The sequence below is a fragment of the Homo sapiens genome, chromosome 6 (assembly GCF_000001405.40).
Source record: "Homo sapiens chromosome 6, GRCh38.p14 Primary Assembly".
Lineage (NCBI taxonomy): Eukaryota > Metazoa > Chordata > Mammalia > Primates > Hominidae > Homo > Homo sapiens.
The window spans coordinates 43,327,261-43,352,905 of NC_000006.12; the positions used below are offsets into that span (position 1 = coordinate 43,327,261).

The following is a 25,645-nucleotide window of genomic DNA, read 5'->3' on the forward strand; positions in this document are numbered from 1 at the left end:
CTAGGGAACTAAAAACGTATATTTACACAAAAACTTGTACATGAATGTTCACAGATTATTCATAATAGGCAAAATATGAAAATAGCCCAAATGTCCAACAATTAGTAGACAAAACATGGTATATCCATACAGTGGAATAACTAGCCATAAAATACAATGATACATGGTATAACATGGATGAACTTTGACAACATTATGCTAAGTGAAAGAAGCCAGACACAAAAGAAATTTATTGTATGATTCCATTTATATTAAATGCTCAAAATAGGCAAATCCATAGAGACAGAAAGGAGACTGGTGATTGCCAGTGGCTTGGGAGTAGGGGTGACTGGGAGTATCTGCTAATGGGTATATGTTTTTTTTTAGAGGATGATGGAAATGTTCTGGAATTAGATAGTGGTGATAGTTGTACAACACTGAAGATACGAAAAATCACAGGACTATACACTTAAAAATGGTGAATTTGGCCAGGCACAGTGGCTCACGCCTCTAATCATATCACTTTGGGAGGCTAAGGTGGAAGGATCACTTGAGCCCAGGAAGTGGAGGTTGCTGTGTGCCATGATTGCAGGACTGTACTACTCCAGCCTGGACGACAGAGTGAAACCCTGTCTCAAAAAAATAAAGGTGAATTTTATGTTTTGTGAAATTCAACATATTAACTGTAATTCAATAAAAAAGATCTTACATATTTCATCATTCATAATACATGTGAATTCATATAAAATAAAAGAAGTCCAAAGGGGTCTAGAGGTATGGCAGACGTTCTCTTTCCCCTGTCTATATTTCCTTTACAATCGGCCACCATCGAAAAGTTGAGGAAGCCTAGAGCTCTCAGGAGCAGTCCTTTGAGCTTGTGTAGGGGCACTCAGAATGGTCCAGCATTTGACATACCATCATAGGCTTTCCTACAATATAGCCTCTAACAAAACCAGGCTGTCCCAAACCCCTGGTAATATAATTGTTTACCTTTATACCAAGAAGGTTGGGAAAGCACCAAATTCTGCATGTGGTGTGTGCCCAGGCAGACTTCAAGGGGTTTGTACTGTGAGACCTAAAGTTCTTATGAGATTGTGGAAAACAAAAAAAACATGTCAGCAGGGCCTATGGTGGTTCCATGTGTGTTAAATGTGTTCATGACAAGATCAAGCGTGCTTTCCTTATTGAAGAGCAGAAAATTGTTGTAAAAGTATTGAAGAGTCAGAAAGCTAAATAAAAATGAAGCTTTTTGAATAATAATAACAGAAAAAAGAAGTCCGAAAGGAAAAACAGTATTCTAAAAAATGTTCCCTTTCCCTCACCTATCCCCCAGATCAGTACAGCTCAGACACCATTGGAGAACTGAGGTCTAAGCAGCAAAGCAGGTGATGGAGGTAGGGCTGTGAGTCATAGTTTGTATGAAAGCTTGTGACCAACATCTTTGACTGTCCCTGAACAGAGGAATGTGACAGTTGATAAGAAACAGATCTTGGGCTGGAACAAAGGAGAGAAAGTGGTGGTGACCAACGTGTTGGCAGCCCTGGCACCAGGTTGCTTTCCATTGCTTCATCCACCAGGTCATGCCTCAGGAATAAGTAATCCTTAACTAATATATCAGCAGCATGAGGCCCTGAGGTACTTTTTGCCCTTGATTGACTTCTTATTCCACTGATGGCTTTGCTTAATATCATGAATATTCCCGAAAGTTACTAAAACCATAGATGTATTTGGGCAGTAAACTAGACCTCCAGGACTCTAAAAATGCCTGGACTTACAAATCAAAAACAAAACCAGCCTGGCGTGGTGCTCACGCCTGTAATCCAAGCACTTTGGGAGGCCGAGGGGGGCGGATCGCTTGAGGTCAGGAGTTCATGACCAGCTTGGCCAGCGTGGTGAAACCCTGTCTCTACTAAAAATACAAAAATTAGCCAGGCATGGTGGCACACGCCTGTAATCCCAGCTACTTGGGAGGCTGAGGCAGGAGAATCGTTTGAACCCAGGAGGCAGAGGTTGCAGTGAGCTGAGATCGCGCCACTGCACTCCAGCCTGGGCAACAGAGTGAAACTCTGTCTCAAAAAAAAACCCAAAAGCAAAACAAAACAAAAAAACAAAACCAGCCTAATAGTTTTCAGGATAAATCTGGAATTGACACAGCTTAGATTTAAATAAATCTCAGAGTTTACAGGATTTAAAGGTCAGCTAAATTTTACTAGGTTCTGGTTCTCATTCCCACTGTGTTTCTGAGCCCATAGCCCCAAAGTACAAAGAGGAATAAAAGTACCTATTAGCATTTTTTGGCCAGGCGCAGTGGCTCACGCCTGTAACCTCAGCACCTAGTGAGGCTAAGGCGGGTGGATCACTTGAAGTCAGGAGTTTGAGACCAGCCTGGCTAACATGGTGAAACCCCATCTCTACTAAAAATAAAAAAATTAGCCAGGCATGGTGGCACACGCCTGTAATTCCAGCTACTCGGGAGGCTGAGGCACGAGAATTGTTTGTACCCGGAAGGTGGAGGTTATAGTGAGCTGAGATCGCGCCATTCCACTCCAGCCTGGCCGAAAGAGTAAGACTCTGTCCCCCCTCCAAAAAAAAAGGTACCCACTAGCATTTTTTCCTTTTTTCTTTTTCTTTCTTTCTTTTTTTTTTTTTTTTGAGACAGAGTTTCGCTCTTGTCACCCAGGCTGGAGTGGAATGGCGCAATCTTGGCTCACTGTGACCTCTGCCTCCCAGGTTCAAGCGATTCTCCTGCCTCAGCCTCCCAGCCTCCCAAGTAGCTGGGATTATAGATGACTGCCAACACCCCTGGCTAATTTTTTGTATTTTTAGTAGAGATGGGGTTTCACCATGTTGGCCAGGCTGGTCTCGAACTCCTGACCTCAAGTGATCTGCCAGCCTTGGCCCCGCAAAGTACTGAGATTACAGGCATGAGCCACCACACCCAGCCCTTTTTTTTTTTTTGAGTTGGTGTCTCTGTCCTCCAGGCTGAGGCGCAGTAGCCCAATCAAGGCTCACTGCAACCTCTGCCTCCCGGGTTCAAGCAATTCACCTGCCTCAGCCTCCCAAGTAGCTGGGATTACAGGCATATGCCACCATGCCCAGCTAATTTTTGTATTTTTAGTAGAGACAGGGTTTCACCATGTTGGCCAGGCTGGTCTCGAACTCCTGACCTCAGGTGATCCACCCACCTTAGCCTCCCAAAGTGCTGGGATTACAGGCATGAGCCACCGCGCCTGGCCCATTTTTAGTTTTTTTTAAATTTATTTTTGAGACAGGGTCTTGTTCTGTTGCTCAGGCTGGAGTGCAATAGTGCAATCAGAGTTCAGTGCAGTTTCAACCTCCAGGGTTCAAAGCGATCCTCCCACCTCAGCCTCCCGAGTAGCTGGGACTACAGGCATGGACCACCATGCCGGACTAATTTATTTTTTGTAGAGACAGGGTCTCACTATGTTGCCTGGCTGGTCTTGAACTCCTGGGCTCAACTGATCTGCTGACCTCGGCCTCTCAAAGTGCTGGGATTATAGGTGTGAGCTACCATGCCCAGCCCTTACTTGGATTTTATTTTATTTTTTTCAAGACGGAGTCTTGCTCTGTTGCCCAGGCTAGAGTGCAGTGGCATGGTCTTGGCTCACTGCAACCTCTGCCTCCCAGTTTCAAGCAGTTCTCCTGCCTCAGCCTCCTGAGTAGTTGGGATTACAGGTGTGCGCCACCACACCTGGCTAATTTTTGTATTTTTAGTAGAGATGGGGTTTCACCATGTTGGCCAGGCTGGTCTCAAACTCCTGGCCTCAAAGCATTCCACCCACCTCAGCCTCCGAAAGTGCTGGGATTATAGGCATGAGCCACCATGCCTGGTCCTCTACTGGCATTTTAAATGAGCAGAGAGTAAGGGGTTTCCTTGGTGTTTTGAAATGATGCTTGCCTGCTACTGTGTACCAGAGGTTTCAATGTGTGTGGGACAAGTACAAGACAGAGTGAAAACTGGTGGACAGCTGCCCTGAAGTCTGATATTGAAGGATCAAACATCTCCTTTGTGATTGTCCCCGCTTCACTGAGTCTCCTTTGCTTACTCATACCCCAATCTTCTAAGGACATACCCAATTTTACTTTGTCTTTGTATGGACCAATAAAAGAGGCTAGAACTGAGATAAGAGATGTTCTACTTAGGGGCACATTGGAGACTAGGGCCCAGGAAGAATATGAAGACCTGAACTCTACAGCTTTAATGTAAGTATCATGGCACAAAATGAGATATGGGACTTCAGGAATAATTTATTCAATGCTAAATAAGGTGAGGAGTGGCAAGTCTAAAATACATACCCTCTATGTACATTCTAATCTTGTTCATCCTCTACAGGTACAACAATATACACATTCACTCACCCAACTCACCATTTCCTGGCAGCTAAAATGACAGGATCTTCTCTACAACTTATCCCCACCCCCATCAGTCATACCCACCTTCTGGAAGTCAGATCCTTCAGGTGATTGCCTACTGGCCACAAGGGCACCCATCATTTCCGTGGCCTCTGTGGTTTCTATCCCTGCCTTTCTGGGGGCAGAAATGTCTGCTGCAGTCCTTCCTTTTGGAAATCTGAAGACTTTTGGAATTGCCCCTGAAAAGAAAGGAAGATAAGTGGGTGAGAGTCTGTAACAATGTGACCATAGTCATCCTTAGGAAGGTGGTTACAGGAAGGCTGGGTGGAAACTTAGCAGGGACAGAGTGTCAGAGAGACGAAATAAAATAATATCTTAATATGGCTGATTTTATCTCTGCTTTCTCCACATCCTCTACCTTTTGTTCTCCCGTTATGTAACTCTGCCTCTGTTTTCACCCTGTTCGTTCACTTCCCTTAAACATACTCATTTCCCTTATTTTCTACAAAACTTCTTTCTTGCCTAATCCTCCACAAATGGAACCAAAGCCTGTAAATCTTTAAATCATTACATCTAGATGTTATCTTCTGTCCTTTTGCATGCGACAGACTTTTTTTATCTTTTGTGTACCTGTATTACTTTGTGAAACAGGTATCTTGATTTATATCATTTAATGTCCAAGTGCTTGTACAACATTAATGAATATGAACAACCAGTTCAACAGAGGTTGGGGAAAGAATGGGAAGAGGAAGAGAGGAAGAAGGAAAGAATGGTAAGACATTCCTGAAGAAGGTATGTTGCCCAGCATCGATGGGAATAGAAGAATTTAGGAAGTCTTGAGGGAAAAGCAGCAGGACCTATTTGTAATGATGGAAAACAGACAAGAGGTGTGAAGGAAAACAGGGATGCACTGAGTAGGAGAGACACAACTTAAAAAAAATAATTTTAATACAGAAAAGTATACAGAGGGGTAAAAAAAAAACTGGCCTATAATTCCACAGCACTGGATAACCCTTACTACATGTTATCATTTTATACATGTATGTGTGTGCATGTGTATAGTTTATAAAACATTTATATTTTATAGAAAATGCATTTTCATGGTCACAATGTTGAAACAAAACAGAAGATACAAAATAAAAAGTGATAGCATTCCTTTTCCCTCTCCCAAAGGCAACCTTTTTTGGTTACGATTTAGTTTTGATGAGATGACAAGAGGATGCTGGAGACCATAAACTGTTGAATTACTTCTTCAACCAAATCAGAGGGGTTTGGGGTTTGACTGACTTCAGCATGCTTATGAAGTCTGGCTGGAAGGAAAAAGGAGGCCATTTGAAAACTGGATCCCCAAAACCTTTTGTTTTTGCTAACTGTAAGGTCAGTTTAACTCCTTCTCATCCTCAGTTTCTCTTCTAGGAGCTGCAGAAGCAGTGTTCCCATCATGGCCTGGTGCCATTATTCCAGAATGCTGTTGAAGTGAGGGAACCAATGGCAACCTTGACATGCCTCAATGATACAGTGCTTTGTATACAAAGACCCAGGACAGAAGCAAGAGGACAGCTGGCTTCTAGAGTGCTAAACACCCAGAAAATACAATAGGCAATTTACAGTTTTTACTGACTTATAATTTGCTAAGTATTCACAATTTGTTAATAAAAACAGCTACTATTACCACATTGATTCTTTCAATGAATTTTTATTGAGTACCTGCTATATGCCAGACAACTGTGCACTGTGAATACAATGATTAAAAAAATAGTAAGCAAAGACAGACTTCTTGCTTTGGGGAGTTTATCATGTACTTAAGGGGAGCATATATTAATCAAAGAAACATAAATGTAAAATTACAACCACATTAAATGCTACAACATAAACATACATGTTTTATATGTATTCTTCTGGAAGTGTATATGGGTTGAGGGCAAATCAGGAGAGTTGTGATTTTAAGAGTAGAAGATTTTCATTATAAATTCAACTTCGTGGCTTATCGATGAATATTGTATACACAACTTAGTTAAAAATTACATAAAAATTACTGCAATTTTAAACTCTAAAGAGATGTGCTCACAAAACTATTTGTCCATGTTCTCACATAAATCGTTAATAAATGAAGACTTTGTTTAGGTTCTTATCCTAGATTTAGTATGTAAGCTTTGTTAAGGTGAGAACCAAGGTTTAGGGATATATATTAATATATCAACAAAGCTTGCCTATATATGTTTATATATATATTATCTATATTATATATATAAAAGAAACTATACTATATATAGTATATATAAAACTATATACATATATACATATATATATATGTAAAAGAAACTACCTCACTTATTTCTGTTACAGGCTACATCCTCTCTGAACCCTCCTCCAATTTTTAAAATTACACTTTATGTTCCTATTGGATGCATGTGTCCTGTATGTCCACCTCCCCACCCCATTCTTCCTCAGTCCTGGAATCTGGCAGACTGATAAATTGACTATGTGCTGGCATGCTCTGCTACCAAAATACTAACTTTCTGACTTTTTAGAAAGATGAAGTGTCATGGGCGAAGTAATACTTAACTATATTATTCAGCAATATTAGCAGAATATTATGTGCCCTGTGAATATAATATGGCTTGTAAAGCAGGAAGCCCCCCATTTGCAAGGCCAGGGGGAATTTTTAGCGGGTTATACACCTTAGGTAAAATTAGGTATTTGCCCAAATTTAAACATAATTGCTGATCATCTGCTTCTCACAATTGAGGATATCTGATAAAAGTTGTTCCTGATGTTTGTAAAATTTAAAACATAGTTATATTACACCATAAGCTGCATTTAAAATTCAGGGCCCATTTCTTCCATGTGCCTAAGTCTCCTAAGTTGAAAGTTTATTCAGTACTGTGATAGTAGAGAACAACAAAAAAATATGCTCTATCTCCAGCTACTGGGTTAGAATTCTGTCCTTCCTTTCACCTGTCTTCTCTGGATAGGTTCCAAAGCTAGATCCCACTAACCAAAAGGAAGGAGGCAGCAACACTTCCTGCCCAGAATACAGAATCCTCAAAGTTCTCCCTCTGCTGGTTCAAGGAAGATATAAAGAATGTCACTCCCGTAACTCTTAAGTGAGCATTATTTTTGAAAAAGCCGGATTGGTAGATGCCTTTGGTGTAAATCCTGAAGTTATCCAGAGAATACAAGAGGAGTTACTACCAAAGCTTAGGCTCAAAGTACTCCAGCCCTAGCTACCTGAACTAGTTCTGCCCTTCCTACAATAAATTTTGCCTCTTTTTCTCTTCTCACTCAAGTAGCCCCCTCCTAACCTACAGGGTAAGATTTCAATGCCCTCTGAGGAAGTAAGGTTAGGATTGGGATCTTGATATGGTTACCTCCTCCCAACTCTTTCTCTAAAACCATCAGTCTCCCCCTAAAGGGAAGTGGAACTAAGTGAACAGGACTGAAAATCAGCACAAACTGGCATTAAAAATTATGTTCCCTGAATTCCTATAGATAACCTGCTATAACAGGGAGGGAGTAGTTCTCTGGGAAAACAAATCTCTCTGAAGCTTACTTGGGTTTAAACTCTTCTAAATGGCACCTTTTGAGTTAGTCTATGGTTTCCAAGCAAGAAAACTGCATTGAACTCAGGCTTTGTCCTAAAAACCAGGGCTAGAAAGGTGACATGGGCAGGATACCCTGACCCTGTACATATTGGTGCTAGGATAAAGATAACGATTCTTATCTCAAAGGAAACAACACAAAACAACTCTGTGACACAGTAAGGTAAACTAACTTGTCTAAAATCACAGCAAGGTAAATGACTGAGGCACAGTCAAGGATCTAGCTCTCCCAAATCTGTGTCCTTTCCATAACATAAGAGAGGCCAGAATGACTTCTAAATTGACATTAGTCAAAAAAATTAAAAATCCTTCCCAATGTTGACCTAGGGATTTTATAGCTCTGTACATAAGGAAACAGGAAAAAAAAAATTGGGGGAGCGGGGAGGTTAATCCAGATCAGCAATTTTGTATTATCTTTGAGGAACAGGTGGGTAAATAAGACTCCGAAGGCCCTGTTGAGTCAGGTTATAAACTGCTGACAACAGGGATACAAGAGGAAACTGGGACAGAGAAAATCTGAGGACTGAGCTCCCTAATTCCCAAGAGCAAGAACCTGATTGTCCTAGGGGAGCTCAGTTCCCAGAAAATCCTACGGAGAGTCAACACAAAGGTATATAAAAAGCTTCACAACAGGAAGATACCAATACCAGACAACTGTTGCCTACTCACTACCCACCCAGGCTGCGCTGGGGCAGACTATATATCCTAACATTCTGGCATGAAGTAGTTCTGACAAGTGAGGAAAGCATGGTTGCGGGTGCGGATAGACAATAGGGCAGCAGGGATTCACTGTTCTAGTTTTCCTTTGGAGTTCAAATGTGTGTGATTTCAAAACAAAAATCCAGAAGGAAACATGAGATTAATGCATTTATTCCAAGTAATTAACACATTAAAAATAAAGTTAAACTTGTCCAAGCCAACTCATAAATTCTTTAATCTTTTTAACAAAATATACAACCCCAAACATCGTACTATGGTTGAAATTAATTGGGAAAGGAGGAGGTAGAGGAAAGGATACATATGGGTTTGTGGAACAGGGAATGAGTTCAATCTCAAGACAAGTTTCAGAGATCTTCTACCCCTTCACAACACAAATGGCTGCTAAACAATTTAATACAAAGTGTTATTGGATCACAATACAATGAACAAAGGCCATTTCAAAAATAAAAGTGATCTCAAAAGCATATCTGCTCCTGGCAATGAACCATGAATAAGCCTTACCGATTTGTCGTCTTCTAAAAGTAAGCCTGCCAGATATTCTTCCATGTTTATTTCCAAACAGGTTTGTGGGTTAGCAGGACAATGCATCTCAAGAAAGGCAACAGAGTAAGGGAAGTACAGGAGTTGACATGCCAATAAGGGGTGTAAACAGTAAACAAAAGAGCTACTCACGCTGCATTTCAAACAATGTTAAGGCAGGCCCATCCAAATGGAAGCCTAAGAGATGAACAATTCTTCCAAGTTTTCCATTTCAGCAAGCTTTCTGGTGTTTTTCCCAGAGATGCATCAACTGCCCAGGAAATTGGGTAGGAATACAACACAGCAACTGGAGAGGTCAGCTGCCTCCATCCTCCCCCACATTTCAGAAATGGCAGAGTCAAAGCCAAAATACAATCAAAGCACACTATGTGGTGAGCCAGTTAGACATGTGATTTTAATGACAAAGTGGGAGAAAATAAATTGGCCAAAAAAATTAACAAAATACATTTTTACAGATATATATATATATATATAAGTTGTTATCGATTTGTCTGGTGTTTTAAGGGGAAAGGGAAAAGGAAAGGAGGTAAATTTTTTAGCTTCCATGAACATTTACTTTAAGATGCTGACTGCATCTCTTGGTGTAGGTTCCAGATGAGATAACAAACTAGTCTTGGATCATCTGGGCATCTGATTTCTAGAAGCCAATGATTCACTCACAAGTAGCTCTAGGTATTTATTCTTAGTTGTGAACACTGGATTCTGTGTGGTCCTGGATGGCACCAACTGTAGTTTCCTGTTCAGGCATTCCCTGAGGGACCATATTGTCTTCAATTACCTGCTCCCTTGGAGGGGACCTTGACACTGGAGCTTTAACCAAATTCAGAGGGTCGCCACTGTCATCATCTACTTGCAGAATTGCCACCTCTGTGGTGGATGCATTCGATATTTCTAGCTGTAATGGCCCCAACTCCAGGGAACTACATTTAGAAGGGTCACCTGGCTCAGAGAGTGGAGAACACAGTTTATCTTTTTGAACTCCAGAGGTCCGTGTGACAAAGTCAACAAGGTCTGGAAGGCAAGGAGATGGCCCAAGGCCTGCAGAATTAATTGTTTTTAATTCCAATCCGAGTGACTCTTGTTTGTCTAATTGGGAAGATTCTTTTACTTCCTCAGGCATCATTCCTCCTGCTAACAGGTCAAGGGCCTGGTGTGTTCCCTCTAGGCCCCCCAAGCCACGGTCAACATTTTCTGTAAGTCCAGTTTTCAAAATGTTAGGAGAAGGGATCCTAACACTCCTGGGATTAGGTGAGTTTCGTTCACCCTCTGTCTCAAAGTCAAGCACCAAGGTTTTGGGAGAATCTAACGGAAACCCAGAAAAAGATGGGATTGGTTCGAAGTCAGCGGGATCGGAGGAATTACACCCTATAGGTGATACAGAATTTTCTTCACACACTTTCTGACACAAGACAGTTGGGGATCTATGTGCTGGGCTTACCCGAGTAGTGCAGAAATCAACAGGCATATCCCCCAGATTCCCCAGGGCAGTAAGCTCCTCTACCTTTAAGTCTGTAGCTTCAAAGTCTTCTAGGGCCTTGCTTTCTATTGTCACTGTTAACTCTGGATGGACATCTTGTAGCTCCAGTGCTTCTGTTTTTGGTTTCTCTGGGCTCTCCCAGGTCTCTGGCCTCTTCTTGTTTTCATCCCAAACAGCCAACTCATAGATCTTTTTAACTTGAAAGTCTTTTGATCTTTCTCTCTTGAGTTTGAGACTTCTGTACCTAGAAGTTCTAGAAGCTGATTCTGGAGCTGAATTCTCTAGCCCCTCCTCACTAACAACTGAAACTCCTTGCTCTTGTGGACTACCTGTTAAACACATAGCTGATCTGGCTGGGGAATGAAGCAGCAACTCTGGGGCAGAAATTTTCACAGGTGTATCTTGTGGGTTGAGTAAAGACCTAGCTTCTGATAAAAATGAGTCTAATTTTGCCTTTGTGAAAGAGCAAGCCTGTGGACTCAATTTGATCACTACTTTACTTGGAGTTTCACTTCCTGTCATCAATTTATTGGACTGTTCAGCCTCTTTGTCAATCATTAGCAAGTTGGGCTGTTTTACTTCTCCCTCCCACATGTATCTGTTTCCATGGTTCAAATTAGAATCATCTATGCTGTGGGGTCCAATGCTGGTACTTACTCCCTCATCAACTATCCCCTCAGACAGCTCCTTTACCCTTTCTTTTAGTTCAGTGTTTGTCTCTATCTCACTTTCTCTACAATCCTCAGATTTACGGAGCTCTTGGCTTTCCTTATCCTGGTTAACAGATTCTCTGAGGTGGATTTCTACCAACTTCTGAGATTCTTTGCACTGTATATCTAACAGTTGAGGAGGTGGTTCTACACCAGGTGGTCCTGGCTCTCCCAGGTCAAGCTCACTCTTCTCTGGAGATATATCCCTACTAGTGTCACTCTGGAAGGAACTAGAGGTCCATATGGCCAAAGTGTCTGTCTTTGGGGTAATTGTTTCATAAGGCCTGCTTTGGCACAACCTTGTCAGAGGCTGTAGGAAGCCATAGGTGCTGCCTGTGCTTTTTGGGCCTACATGTTCTACAACTGACCATTTCCCTAGGGCCACCAGAGTTTTTGCAATGGGCTTTTCAGAGTTGCTAACTATAGGAGCAGCGACCAAACCCTCATCTTGATGCAACTCCTCTTGGGATGCACTGCTGTTCAAAGGAGAAGTAGAAGAGGTGTCTGAACTTTTGGTTCTAGAGAGGTTGCTATTTTCCCCATTGGCCAATGGACCACCACTTAGCTTAGTCTCAGGGGCCCCCTTAGTCTCAGGGGCCCCCTTTCCACCACTACTATAGAATATGTCATACAGGTCCTTAGCATTGGCTGTGGCTAAGCATGAATTTCGCTTCTCTAATTTTTTGGCTTGTTCACTGAACACACTTGAGAGGGGTGGTGGAGGACGTACTAACACAGAGAACAGGGTCTGGTCTCGGTCACTCTCACTCACCCCAGGAGCTGTCTCATCAGAAGGAATGGCAGCTGGCTGTGCTGAGGCCATGATGGCTACAGGCAACACTGGGTTCAAAATGTTAGGACCCACGAAGCCAGGGCTGAGAGTCTGAGATACAACTGGGTTTGATTTTACTGGAGCCAAGATAGCATTTGCTTGAGCAGCAGACGGGGCAGCTGGATGAGGTATAACGGGGGGTGGTGGAGGTGGTGGAGGTGGGGGTGGTGGAGGAGGTGGTAGTATTTGTTCAGGTAAATGAGATGGCTCACTCTTTTCAGCCAACACCACTTTTTCCTCTGGAGACCCTTTTAGAATCACCTCTTCCCCTCCAAATGCTTTGGAGATGATGTCTGGAGGTAAGAGGAGATCAGCTGAAGACTCTTTAACCACTGGCAGAGGTTTAGCAGTGGTTCCAGAGGACTTAATAGACAGAAAGGTGTTAAGAGGAGCTGGCTTGCTCATTGTGGCTGAACATGACTTGCGGAGTACTGTGGATGGAATAGGCAGGTTGGGTCGGATCTTAGTCTGTGTGGAAGTTGTCACAACAGGCATCCAAGGGCTGGTATGTGCAACAACAGTTTTCCCAGAGAGCTTGATTTTGATAGGCTTTGCCTTCCCAGCTTCAGTTTTGCCATCCTCTTTGTCCTTACTACTTTCTAGAATCTCTTCTTTAGAGATACTTGGGGTCACCAATGAACTTTTCTCCTCTTCTTTTTCTGGCTTCTTCCAGCTGAATTTCCCAAAAGAAGATGATGTTGGTGATTCCTTCTTTACCTCTTCTTTTAACTGGAGTTTGATGCCAGTGTTCCTTTTATTTTCAGCTTTTTCAGGGGAGTTCCTACCCTCAGAGAGTTGGTCTTCTAATTTCTCAGAGACCTTGTCATCCTCCTTTACTTCTTTCACAGCCTTTGCCTTTTTTTCTTTCTTCTCCTCCTTTGGTTTCTCACTAAGTTTGCGCTTTAGCTCACTCTGCCGTCGCCGTTCTGTCTCTAGGACCACAGCCAAGCCAGCTTGGCGGTCCAGATTCCGCCGCTCCTCATATAATGGGTTTTCATCCACATATTTCTGGGAAGAAAAAAGATAAAGACTCAAAAACTGGTGAAAATACAAGAGAAAAAAATCTTGGCCCCGCTACTGTTAGAATTCATTTAGTAGAAATCCCCAGAATTATCTTCCTCAAGGACATACGGGATGCTATCTGCTGAGCATCTCCCACTAGGATTGAGGAGAACTTAGAGGTTATATGGAATTTGAAGTGTCAATGGCTTTTTCTGGCTCGGACGCCATTTGACAAAGTCAAAATAATTACTTCAGAAAAGTTGGAAACTCCACAGCCTACTACAAAGACCAACCTTGTATTTCTCATTGTGTTGGTGACCCTTCACATGTTGCTCCCCAGAAATTGGATCCCCCAAAAATTCCTCACAGAGCTGGCAATAAAATCCACTGATGGGAACCAGAAACTCAGAGCCTGGAAGAAGTAGAAAAAAGTCAAGGAAATAAGTCGATTCCACCCAGAATGACAGCAACCAATGGAAATCCCACCACCCCTTTGCAGTAAAATGGTTACAGTATAGAGGGCCTTACCCACTTTGAAGTCAGAAGCAGTATTTAGATGAATCCCAATGGCACAGTCTTTCCAACCTAAGGCTTGAACTACAGTCCTCTATTTCTTCTACCTCTTGGGAACATTATACTGGTTAATTTAGGAGTTTCCTGTGCCAGATTAATTCCTGTTGCTGAGTCTCCTCAAACCCTAACTAGCACCAAGCATCTCAGGAAATATAAAAACTATACTCCCAAATAGCCCATTACCATTTTATGATGATCTCTCATGTTGGTATTAATTACTGAGGAAACTATCTTCTGTAAATCTCAAGGGTATAGTAGCAGCACTAGCTACTTGTGAAGGTAAGAAATTGAAAAGTTTATGGGCTGAGCACAGTGGCTCATGCCTGTAATCCCAGCACTTTGGGAGGCAGAGGTGGGCAGATCACGAGGTCAGGAGATCGAGACCATCCTGGCTAACACAGTGAAACCCCGTCTCTACTAAAAATACAAAAAATACAAGGCATGGTGGCAGGCGCCTGTAGTCCCAGCTACTTGGGAGGCTGAGGCAGGAGAATGGGGTGAACCCGGGAGGCGGGGCTTGCAGTGAGCAGAGATAGCACCACTGCACTCCAGCCTGGGCAACAGAGAGAGACCCCATCTCAGAGGAAAAAAAAAAAAAAAAAAGAAATTGAGAAGTTTAAAGACAAAGGAAGTTTCTGCTTCTCCACTTACCCCTTAATAACAATGACTCAAAATATTGTATAGTTCTTAGTTGAAAAGGCAGTTAAATTACTGCATCTCCTGTCCTTTTTAACCTGGATTCCAAACAAGTAAGATTTTGGGCCCATAAGCCAATGACAAAGACAATTCTGTTTTAAGTGACATGTCTATGTTTAACATCTGTGAATAGATTTTTGGCCATATGGGTAGAGATCATGGTCTTATAGATCTCTTTATAGCTTCAGGACCTAGTACACTGTTTTGTACACAGAAGGCATTCCTACGGCTTTGTTAAAAGGAATGGCTGTCTCATGCTATGCTGCTTCCTACAATGTTAGTTCAGGGACACCTCTTCCTCAACTGAATGTAAGGAAACCACAAAGGTGGCAAAAAGGAAACATACCTTTTGCAGGAACAGTTATCTTGTCAGTGCGCTTTATGGCATCTTGCTTGGCCTCACTCTGGGTCTTTGAAGCCCAAGGTCTGTTGTAGGGATCCAGTGTCTATTTGTAAGAGGCAGAGGTGCTCACACAACAGCACTAAAAGCTCAATGACCCACTTTTCTCTTTTTTTTCCCCCATAATAAGACCAGGGGACCAGAAGCCCCCAGCTACCCACCCCCACCCCCTCTGCCAACTGTTTTAATGGAAATCACCTGTGGAAAAGGTAAACACATGTTAGAGCAAGTACCAGAAAAAGGTAAAATGAAACAAAAAAATCAGGTACTCAAGGAATCAAAAGAGGCAGAAACCTCACTTACACTTGTCATGGTGTTTAGTTACAGCCAAGTCCCCTGGACTGAGCCCTGGGGATGGTGTCTCCTTTGTTGGTGTCTCTTGGCTCTTCAGACTGGGGCTCCTGCCCATATGAGAATGTTTCCTTTTCCAGCTTTGCAATGCAGATAGGGGTATAGAAGTTTGAAGAGAGTGAGGGTGGGAGTGAAAATAACAGAGAGTAGGATACCAACCTGTGTGTGCTTCTTATTGTGCATATGAGTGAAGAAATCAAACATGGTCCCACAGATGGTGTTGCAGTCTTTGCACCAGTGATTGCCAGCATCATAATACTCATAAGCAGCAGTGGGCTGATCCAACTGCTTAGTGGCTGACTGGGGGCTTTCGGCAGGCTTGGGGCTCTTAGTACGAAACTTCTCATTGTTTACTTTTGATTCCTAGAGGGGAAAAATCTGTACTTACAAGGAATTCAAGGCAATCTAGACTTGTCTTCTGTTAGAAATAGTAAGTGGCCATAATAATAGAAATAGGGCCATATGACCATATTTCCAATGTTTAAAGCTGCACAAGTTGGGGGGAACCCTAACAGAAACATGTCTCTAAGACATAGAACTATTTGACTTCATAGTGCTATCACAGCATAAAAAGTAAATCATAATGGCAATATATTTACTTACATATCCTAAAATATCTCTAGAAGAACAGCCAAGGTTGTGGAAACATTGGCTGCCTCTGGGGAAGGGAAGTGGAGAACAAGGATGGGTAGGAGTCTCTTCACTGTATACCCTTTAGTAAATGTTGAATATGTTACCTATGCAACTAAACAGTTAAATTTGAAAATCATGACAGCTAGGGAGGGAAGAAAAACCAATATGGAAAAGGTAATTGACAGGCTAAGCAAAGCAAATGCAGAAAATAGGTGATAGTGAACTCATCACATGCATCCTGGTATGAAAAACTGGAGAGAAGGGTTGGTGTACATAGATAAAGTAGACTATACAACTACACATAGATAAAGTCATCTATGTAGAATGATTTAAAGGAATCTAGGAAAAACATTCCTAACTGCCTAAAATATCACTTTTAGAATTTAACAACTTTAGAGGCCAGGTGCAGTGGCTCACACCTGTAATCCCATCACTTTGGGAGGTCGAGGTGGGCAGATCACTTGAGGCCAGGAGTTCGAGACAGGCCTGGCCAACATGGTGAAACCCCATCTCTACTAAAAATACAAAAATTACCCGGGCATGGTGGTGTGCACCTGTATTCCCAGCTACTCGGGAGGTTGAGGCACGAGAATCACTTGAACCCAGGAGGCGGAGGTTGCAGTAAGATAAGATTGTGCCACTGCACTCCAGCCTCAGCAACAAGTGAGACCCTGTCTCAAAAAAAAAAAAAAAAAAAAAAAAATTTTAACACCGTTAACATGTATCCTTTTTAAAAATATATCAACTTCTTAATATTAAAGTTATCAACAGCAAATACTTTAATATGAATTAATTTATTACCAAGCTGGAACAAGGCACTCAGGAAATGAGAATTTTGGTTAATGTTCAGGAGTAAGGCACAGGAAAAAAAGATAATTTTTGCAACTCAGAGGCTCACTATGAATGGGGTTCTATAGTACACAAGATGAAGAGCTGGGTACCTGGAATATTGGCTCACGCAGGGAAAAAGGTAGGATACAGAAAGGGAAACAATTGGGGCTTCAAAGATACTCTTTCCCTACCTGAGTCCTATTCAAGAATCACTAAAGAAATCACACCAGACAGGCAGGGGATGGGAGAGTTCATACACTCCTGGTGGGAGTATTAACTGGCACCATCTTCTAGAAGATAATCTAGGAATACATTACATACCTCAAAATACTGTATACCCTTTAACCCAGCAATTCACTCCTTGACATTTATCCTATGGAAATTATCATGTCAAACAACAGGTGATTTGATTGGTTAAATAAATTTTGCTTAACCATGCAACCAAAACAACAAAAAATAAGGTTGTTAAAAATGGTATTATAGAAGTGTATTTACTGACATGGAAAGATGTTCATGATATACTGAGAAAACTAATAAAATACACTTGAATAATCAACAAAGATATGTAAATCGGCATACAGCGTTGAATATCACTTTATCCAAAATACTTTCTCTAACCACTCTATACTCCTTATCCTGTTTTCTTTTTTTAGGCACTTCTCATTACCTAACATGGACTTATTTATTTATCATCTTCTGCTATTTAATGAGAATATGAACCTTGTCTATACTGTTCAGTGTGATACTTCCCATATCTAGACCAGTTCCTGACACTTTATTGGTGACCAATACATATTTGTTAAGTGAATTGATGGACAGAATTAATACTTTGGTGTATGTATTTGGAATAACATACACCAAGGTATTAATAATAAATTAATGTATTTGGAATATATAATAATACCTTGGTGTATGTATTTGGAATAACATACACCAAGGTATTAATAATATTATACACCAAGGTATTAATAACAGTGGTCTCGGCTGGGCCCAGTGGCTCATGCCTGTAATGCCAGCACTTTGGGAGGCTGAGGTGGGCAGATTACTTGAGCTTAGGAGTTCGGGACCAGCCTTGGAAACATGGCGAAACCTCAACTCTACAAAAATACAAAAATTAGCCAAGTGTGGTGGTGGTGAGCACCTGTAGTCCCAGCTACTGGGGAGCCTGAAGTGGGAGGAATGCTTGGACCTGAGAGTTGGAGGCTGCAGTGAGCCATGACTGTGTCACTGCACTCAACTTAGGTGACAGAGTGAGACCCTGTCTCAAAAAAAAAAAAAAAAAGTAATAATAACAGTTGTCTCTAGGTAGATGAAATTACAAGTTTGTATGTGCTTTTCTGAAATGAACAGAAAGGGAAAGAAAATCTCAAACCAACTATACATTTTAAAGAGAGGTAAAGAAAGAAGAAATACCAAGGACAGGTAGGAAAGAAAGGCTGTGGACATAATATTCCTTACTGCTGAGATGAAAACTGAATTGTAACATATCCGTTAGTTTCAGAGACCATGAAGACGCACCCAAATCAAGATGACAGATTATCATTGGGTTCGTACATGAATAGAAATCCAATGTATAAGTCAATTACAAAGGACCAGAGCTTTTAAATTCTTCTCCCATCAAAGGCCCTACCTAGACTGAAGACCCAGGTATAAAAGACTAGGCCTACCTGGTTGAGAAAGAAAACTCTCCTAGGAAGACATGGAAAAAAATAGAGCTTGGGTGATAACACAGAATATATTCTCTTTCCTACCTCTCAATATTAACTGAGGATGTACTATGTGCTAGACATATTGTATGCAATGGGAAACACAAAGATAAAAAAGATTCCTCTTTTATCCTCTCGGGCCAGGTGGGGTGGCTCACATCTGTAATACTAGCACTTTGGGAGGCTGAGGCGGGAGGATCATCACTTGAGCCTAGGAGTTCAACACCAGCCTGGGGACGGGCGCAGTGGCTCATGCCTGTAATCCCAGCACTTTGGGAGGCGGGGGCAGGTGGATTACCTGAGGTCAGGAGTTCGAGACCAGCCTGGCCAACATGGTGAAACCGTCTCTACTAAAAATACAAAAATTAGCTGGGTGTGGTGGCACACGCCTGTAACTCCAGCTACTCAGGAGGCTGAGGTAGGAGAATTGCCCAGAAGACAGAGGTTGCAGTGAGCGAAGATCACGCCACACGCCACAGAATAAGACTCTGTTTCAAAAAAAAAAAAAAAAAAAAAAAAAAAATGCTGGGCAGGGTGGTTCACGCCTGTAATCCTAGCCCTTTGGGAGGCCGGATCACGAGGTCAGGAGTTTGAGACCAGCCTGGCCAATATGGTGAAACCATGTCTCTACTAAAAATATAAAAATTAGCCGGGCGTGGTGGCACGTGCCTGTAATCTCAGCTACTCGGCAGGCTGAGGCAGAAGAATTGCTTGAACCTGGGAGGCGGAGGTTGCAATGAGCCGAGATTGCGCCACTGCACTCCAGTCTGGGTGACAGAGCAAGAACTCTGTCTCAAAAGACCAGCCTGGGCAATATAGCAAGACCCCATCTTTAACCAAAAAAAAAAAAAAAAAAAAAGCAGCTCTCATTTAGTGGAGACAGACGTAAGAAGAGTCTTTAAATAAGACAACGAAATAAATTTTACAAAGAAACAAATTACAGAGTGCTAAAGAAGGCTGACTAGATCTGGGTGGAATTCTGGAAATTCTTCATGGAAGAGGTGGTATCCAAATTGGGCTTTAATGGGTGAGTGGGGTTGGGAGAAAGATTATTCCAGGCTAATAGGATTATTTATGCAAAACCAGAGAGGTGTAATACCAGATATTGCACATCCGGAAAATTGCATTTTGAGGTGACGCAGCGTAAGATGTAATATAATGTTTCTTCAGCAGTATTCATTACTATGTGCTGGGCCCTGGGCTATATATTGGGAATCATATTGAACAATGACACATATAAAGTCCCTGTAACTTTTGAACCTTAAAATCAAATTAGGGGAACACATTTAATTATAAAATCAGATCTGTCATAAATGTTAAGAAGGAAAATTACAAGATATTATGGGAGTGTATATCAGGCAAATTTAACAGTCTAGGGAATCAGAGAAGGATGTCAGGGAAGTAATTTAAGATCCAATCTAAAGGATGAATTGGAGTTAGAAGAGTAGATAAGGAAAGAGTTCGATTTGCATGGTAAAGAAAGGGAACAGAAAATGTGAGGTCACGAGAGGAGATGATACATTTGAGGAATGAAAAGGTTAGTAATGAAACTACAGTCAGCAAGAAGGAAAGAGGCATGAAATGAGGTTGAGGAGGTAGGCAAGGGATTAAGTATCATGATCACTGGCTATATGTGCAAAAAGAGTTAATTAACACAGCAACATAAGCAAAAACTGATGTGGCTTGGACTTGAATGTCAATGGAGATGATAAGGTGCATGGAATCGAGATTTACTTTGGAGAGGGACCTGACAGAATTTGTAATTGATTGCATATGGAGCAGTTAGGGAAAGCAGAGCACTGAGAGTGACTTTTAAGTTGTTGGCATGAAAACTGTCGGACAGTATGCCATTCATTGAGAATGCATAACAATGGAGAAAGAAAAAGTTGGAAGGAGGTTGAGCACAACCATTAATTTAGTTTAGGACATGCTCAATTTCAAGTGCCTATGAGATAATGAAGTGGAAATGGTGAGTTACGTTGTTAGACACTCAGAAGACTCATTTGACTAGAACATAAAACTGGCAATTGTCACATGGCATTTTAGCATAGGACTGGATGAAATGGCCTAGGAAGAAAGAGCAAATTCTGGCAAGGACTGAGCCCCGAGAAACTCAAAAATTTAAAGATTATGCAAGAGAGACAGCAAAGGATACTAAGCAGGAGCATCCAATGTACTACGAGGAAAAGAAGTGTGACAGAAGCCAAGGGAAAAGAGTATTTGTAGGAGAAAGTGATTCTTGGCCTCAAATGCTGCTCATTTGAGAAGTAAAATGTATTTACTGACTTTAGCAACACAGTAGTGACCTAGACATGAACATAGTTGCTAAATATGAACCCCCCAAAAGGGTATATACAAGTTCTGAGAAGATCAGAAGCCAGATAGGAGTGGGTTAGGGAGTAAATGCTGGAACAAGAACATAGAAGGTTCTGAATACTGAGGATTTAGGATTCTTTGTGGGCAACAAGGAACTATGCTGAAATTCTGAAGAGGAGTACCACACTCTGATCTATACTGTAAGAAAATAATTAACAAGAGTAAGAACAGTTTGAAAACCTAAGTTAAGAAAATGGTTAGAAAACCATAGGAGTCTAAGGGAAAAAAAAGATGATAGAAATGGAAAAATTGAGTTGTTACCTTGTTGGAGGAGGAGTTTGAGAACGATGACACTTTTTCTGGGCTCTTAGATTTTTCTGCTTTCCCAGGCTTCTCTGTAGGCTCTCTACTGTCACTTAAAGACTTCTGGGATTTATCGAAGATGTTAATTCCCAAGATCTGAGCCACTTTGTCCAGTTCAGATTGCTTCTTTTCTGCCTCTTCTGCCTCTTGCCGTAGCTCTGCAATGTCCTTCATAATGTTATCCTGAAGCCGACTCACCTCCACCAAGAGAGGATCTTTGTGGCCATCCTTCTCCCTTCGTTTCTTGCGCAGCATTTCTCCTGAGCAATCAAATGTCAACAAAAAGAAGCACAGGGAAAATAAGACGAGTCATTTCTCATTTACAAGCAATAATTTGTCAGGGCTTTATGGTTACAAAGTCTTTGCCCACAAACGTTTCTAAGAGTGGCTAGGCGTGGTGGCTCATGCCTGTAATTCCAGCACTTTGGGAGACCAAGGCGGGTGACTACTTGAGTTCAGGTGCTCGAGACCAGCCTCACTAACATGGTGAAACCCCGTCTCTACTAAAAATACAAAAAATTAGCCGGGCATGGGGGTGGGCGCCTGTAATTCTATTTACCCGGGAGGCTGAGGCAGGAGAATTGCTTGAACTCAGGGGGCGGAGCTTGCAGTGAGCCAAGATCATGCCATTGCACTCAAGCCTGGGTGATAGTGAGAGACTCCGTCTCAAAAAACAATTTTTTTTTCTAAGAGCAAGTGAGACTCTCCTTCCACATGGGTTGGTGTAAGTGAAGCTTCTATGAAGGTAAAGAATGGGTTATGACATTATCTTTTGTGTAAAGGTTATTAGCTAAGGATTTATGGACAGGCTTCAGGGGCTCCATGAACTCCCATAACAGTATATATAATTTTGTGTGTGTCTCTCAAAAACATTAATAAGTGTTGTAACTATGAATTTAGCAGTTGTCCTCTCTTCAGAGGGCTGAAGAATTATTTAGAGGGTAATATATTTGACTTTATCTGATCTAAGGACACTTTAACAACTTCTTCAATGAGTTTTAGGTTTTGCCTCTGGTTTATCTTTTTTTTTTTTTTTTTTTGGTAGAGATGGGGTTTTGCCATGTCACCAGGCTGGTCTTGAACTCCTGAGCTCAAAGTGATCTGCCTGCTTCAGCCTCTGAAAGTGCTGGGATACAGGTGTGAGCCACCACACCCAGCTGGCTTTTTTAATGTTATCTCCTGTTCCAAACTGCAGATCCTCTGGTGTTAATCCTCACAGGATAAATAACTCAATTTCTCATCCCTAAACAGTCCAAACCCAGACAGAAGCAATTATATCTTCTCCCACTCTCTGTTCTTTCATACTATCAGTATTTAGGAGCCTTGTTATGTTCTTTTCCTCACTGTGTATGTGAATTCCTAAAAGCATAAAGAAATGGAATAAAAAGGAAGGCATCAGGGAACATTTTTGTGTGTGTGTGCCAAATTTAAGGAAAGACCAGACACTGTGGTTCATGCCTGTAATCCCAGTGCTTTGGGAGGCTGAGATGGGAGGATCATTTGAGTCCAGAAATTCAAAGCTACAGTGAGCTATGACAGCACCACTGCCCTCCAGCCTGAACAACAGAATGAGACCCTGTCTCTTAAAAAAAAAGAAAAAAAGGCCGGGTGGGGTGGCTCACACCTATAATCCCAGCACTTTGGGAGGTCGAGGCAGGCGGATCACCTGAGGTCAGGAGTTAGAGACCAACCTGGCCAACAGGGTGAAACCCCGTCTCTACTAAAAATACAAAAATTAGCTGGGCATGGTGGCACACGCCTGTAATCCCAGCTACTTGGGAGGTTGAGGCAGGAGAATTACTTGCACCTGGAAGGTGGAGGTTGCAGTGAGCTGAGATTGCATCACTGCACTCTAGCCTGGGCAACAGAGCGAGGCTCCATCTCAAAGAAAGAAAGAAAAAGAAGAAAAAAAGAAAGTACTCAAAAACGATGGAGACATATTGAAAGGACACAGGAGCTAACTCACAGGGGGTCCCATTGGCCAAATTTGGAACAATTTGAGCATGAAAATAAATAATGATAATAAAAGATTATAACTTATCAAATGAAGAATCCATGAATTCATACTCATATAAATGAATAAACAAATGGGAGTGAGGGTTAGGAAGTTCCCTCTTACAGTGGAAAGCCAACTAATAAAGCTAGAAGGAATGAGGAACCTTGAAAAATCACTATTTGATAACCATCACAGGCCAGGCACAGTGGCTCATGCCTGTAATCCTAGCACTTTGGGAGGCTGCAGAGCTCAGGAGTTTTGAGACCAGCCTTGGCAACATGGCAAAACCTTGTCTCTAGCCAAAAAAAAAAATTAGCCAGGCGTGGTGGCTCATGCCTATGGTCTCAGCTACTCAGGAGGATCACCTGAGCCAGGAAGCGAGGCTGCAGTGAGCTGAGATCATGCCACTGCCACTGCACTTCAGCCTGGGTGACACAGCGAGACCCTGTCTCAAAAAAAATTTTTAAATAACTATTATCATAATAACTGGCTCAGGCAAGACTCATCAATGGATGCTAAAACCAGTGGGTGAAAGTCTGAGGAGTAACTGAATATTTACATAGTCTCAAAGTATCTCCTCTATAAGATTCATATTAATTAAAAAGGATAAAACAGTAACTTTATAGTGGAGAAATCTGGCAGACACCACCTTAACCAAATAATTAAAGTTAACATCACCAGCAATGGGACAAATCAACACCTGATACAAACTCAGCATCATTTCTGTGATAGTCTCGCCAAAAATGAATAACCTGAATTTAATCATAAGGAAACAGACAAATCAAAATTAAGGGATATTCTACAAAATATGTGACCTCTTATCTTCCAGAATGTTAATGTTATGAAATACAAACACTCAGATTAAAGAAGAGTACAGGAACGTGAAAACTGAATGTGATAAATAATCTTGCACTTTGTTTTGCTATAAAGGGCATTAACGGGACAATGTGAAATATGAGTAAGAATGGTAGACTGGATAATAGTACTGTATCACTGCTAATATCCTAATTTTGATAAGTGTATTAAAGTTATGTACCTTCTTTGTTGTTAGGAAATACTTAAGTATTTAGGAGTAAAGGAACATCACATCTACAAGTTACTTTAAAAAGTTCAGAAAAGGCCAGTGCAGTGACTCATGCCTGTAATCTCAGCACTCTGGGAGGCCGAGGAAGGAGGATTGCTTGAGGCCAGGAGTTTGAGACCAGCCTGGACAAAATGATGAAACCCCATTGCTACTAAAATTACAAAAATTAGCCAGGTGTGGTGGCACACACCTGTAATCCCAGCTACTTGGGAGGCTGAGGCTTGAGAATCACTTGAATCCAGAAGGCAGAGGTTGCAGTGAGCCAAGACTGCACCACTGCACTCCAGCCTGGGCAACAGAGCGAGGCTCCATCTCAAAAAAAAAAAAAAGTTCAGGAAAAATTACACACACACATACACACAAATTGAGAGAGAGAAAAAGATAGAGCAAGCGTATTAAAATGTTAATAATCTGGCAGGGTGTGGGAGCTCACGCCTGTAATCCTAGCACTTTGGGAGGCTAAGGCGGGTGGATCACCTGAGGTGAGGAGTTCGAGACCAAACTGGTCAACATGGTGAAACCCCATCTCTACTACAAATACGAAAAAAATTAGCTGGGCATGGTGGCAGGTGCCTGTAATCTCAGCTACTTGGGAGGCTGAGGCAGGAGAATCACTTGAACCCGGGGGACAGAGGTTGTAGTGAGCCAAAATCACACCACTTCACTCCAGCCTGGGTGAAAGAGCAAAACTTCGTCTCAAATCATCATCATCATCATCATCATCATCATCATCATCATCACCACCACCATCATCTGGGAGAAGAGTACCTGAGAATTCTTTGCACTATTATTGCAACTTTTTTGTAAGTTTAATTACGTCAAAAAAAAATTTTTAATGAAGTTTCAGGTTACTGAACCTGTGTGAGAGTACCAAATTTGGGTCTCCTACGCAAGTTATTACAAAAAGGCAGTCATGCAAAGCAGCTGATACCTTGTTGTTTATGAAGCCGCTCTAACTCGGTCCTAAGATAGTACATCTTCTTCTGGCGGGCTTCCCGGTCATTCTTTAGTTTTTCCCTCTCTTCAATAACCTGCAAAATACAAAGTGGTAAGAGAGTCCATCTCCTCCAACATTCTCTTTTCTATTTCTCTCTTCCAGAAGCCTTCTTCCTAGACATTATCTGAATGTAAGGATCCAAATGCCTGCACACAGGCTCTGACCTTACTGTCAAAGTAATATTTCGTTCTAAGTTCCAGAATAGAACTGTCCATCTTTTCAAAAACTATACTGTCCAGAAAGGTTGTTTGTTTGTTTTTTGCAGGAAGGATCTAGGGCACTGATAGCAACTATTAGATAGTGGTTCTAAGTTCCAAAGGGAACCATAGATAAAGGAACCATATGTGTTATAGGTAAGGGACATATTTCATGTTGTTTATTTTCACTGCTCCTTGCAAACCAGGGATAACCCATAGGCAGTATGCCCAGAGTAGCATGTTGTTTAATCCTCACATTTTCACTA

At 41.7% G+C, this 25,645-nt stretch overlaps 1 protein-coding gene and 1 pseudogene across 1 annotated transcript in view, besides 3 other annotated features; one reads left to right on the forward strand and one right to left on the reverse strand.

Annotated features, from left to right (window-relative positions):
• RPL34P14 (ribosomal protein L34 pseudogene 14) lies at positions 746-1,249 on the forward strand (annotated as a pseudogene).
• Positions 1,251-1,545: a silencer, noted in NCBI's record as "tiled region #12728; K562 Repressive DNase matched - State 7:EnhWF". NCBI's record gives its function as "represses a minimal TATA promoter and a strong SV40 promoter by Sharpr-MPRA in K562 cells {active_cell/tissue: K562}" and the evidence as "EXISTENCE:reporter gene assay evidence [ECO:0000049][PMID:27701403]".
• The window catches only part of ZNF318 (zinc finger protein 318), a 33,578-nt gene continuing 16,742 nt past the window's right edge, over positions 8,810-25,645 (reverse strand). The window contains exons 5-10 of the mRNA NM_014345.3: positions 25,117-25,216; positions 21,064-21,365; positions 15,416-15,619; positions 14,852-14,951; positions 13,530-13,648; positions 8,810-13,242 (exon numbers count right to left, since the gene is read on the reverse strand). Of these exons, the coding sequence (NP_055160.2) occupies positions 9,898-13,242; positions 13,530-13,648; positions 14,852-14,951; positions 15,416-15,619; positions 21,064-21,365; positions 25,117-25,216 (4,170 nt within the window). The 3' untranslated portion in view covers positions 8,810-9,897. The remainder of the gene's footprint in view (positions 13,243-13,529; positions 13,649-14,851; positions 14,952-15,415; positions 15,620-21,063; positions 21,366-25,116; positions 25,217-25,645) is intronic.
• Positions 11,782-11,831: an enhancer, noted in NCBI's record as "active region_24597". NCBI's record gives its function as "activates an Ori minimal core promoter by ATAC-STARR-seq in GM12878 lymphoblastoid cells {active_cell/tissue: GM12878}" and the evidence as "EXISTENCE:reporter gene assay evidence [ECO:0000049][PMID:35858748]".
• Positions 22,277-22,477: a silencer, noted in NCBI's record as "peak5813 fragment used in MPRA reporter construct". NCBI's record gives its function as "represses an SCP1 promoter by STARR-seq MPRAs in K562 erythroleukemia cells {active_cell/tissue: K562}" and the evidence as "EXISTENCE:reporter gene assay evidence [ECO:0000049][PMID:32103011]".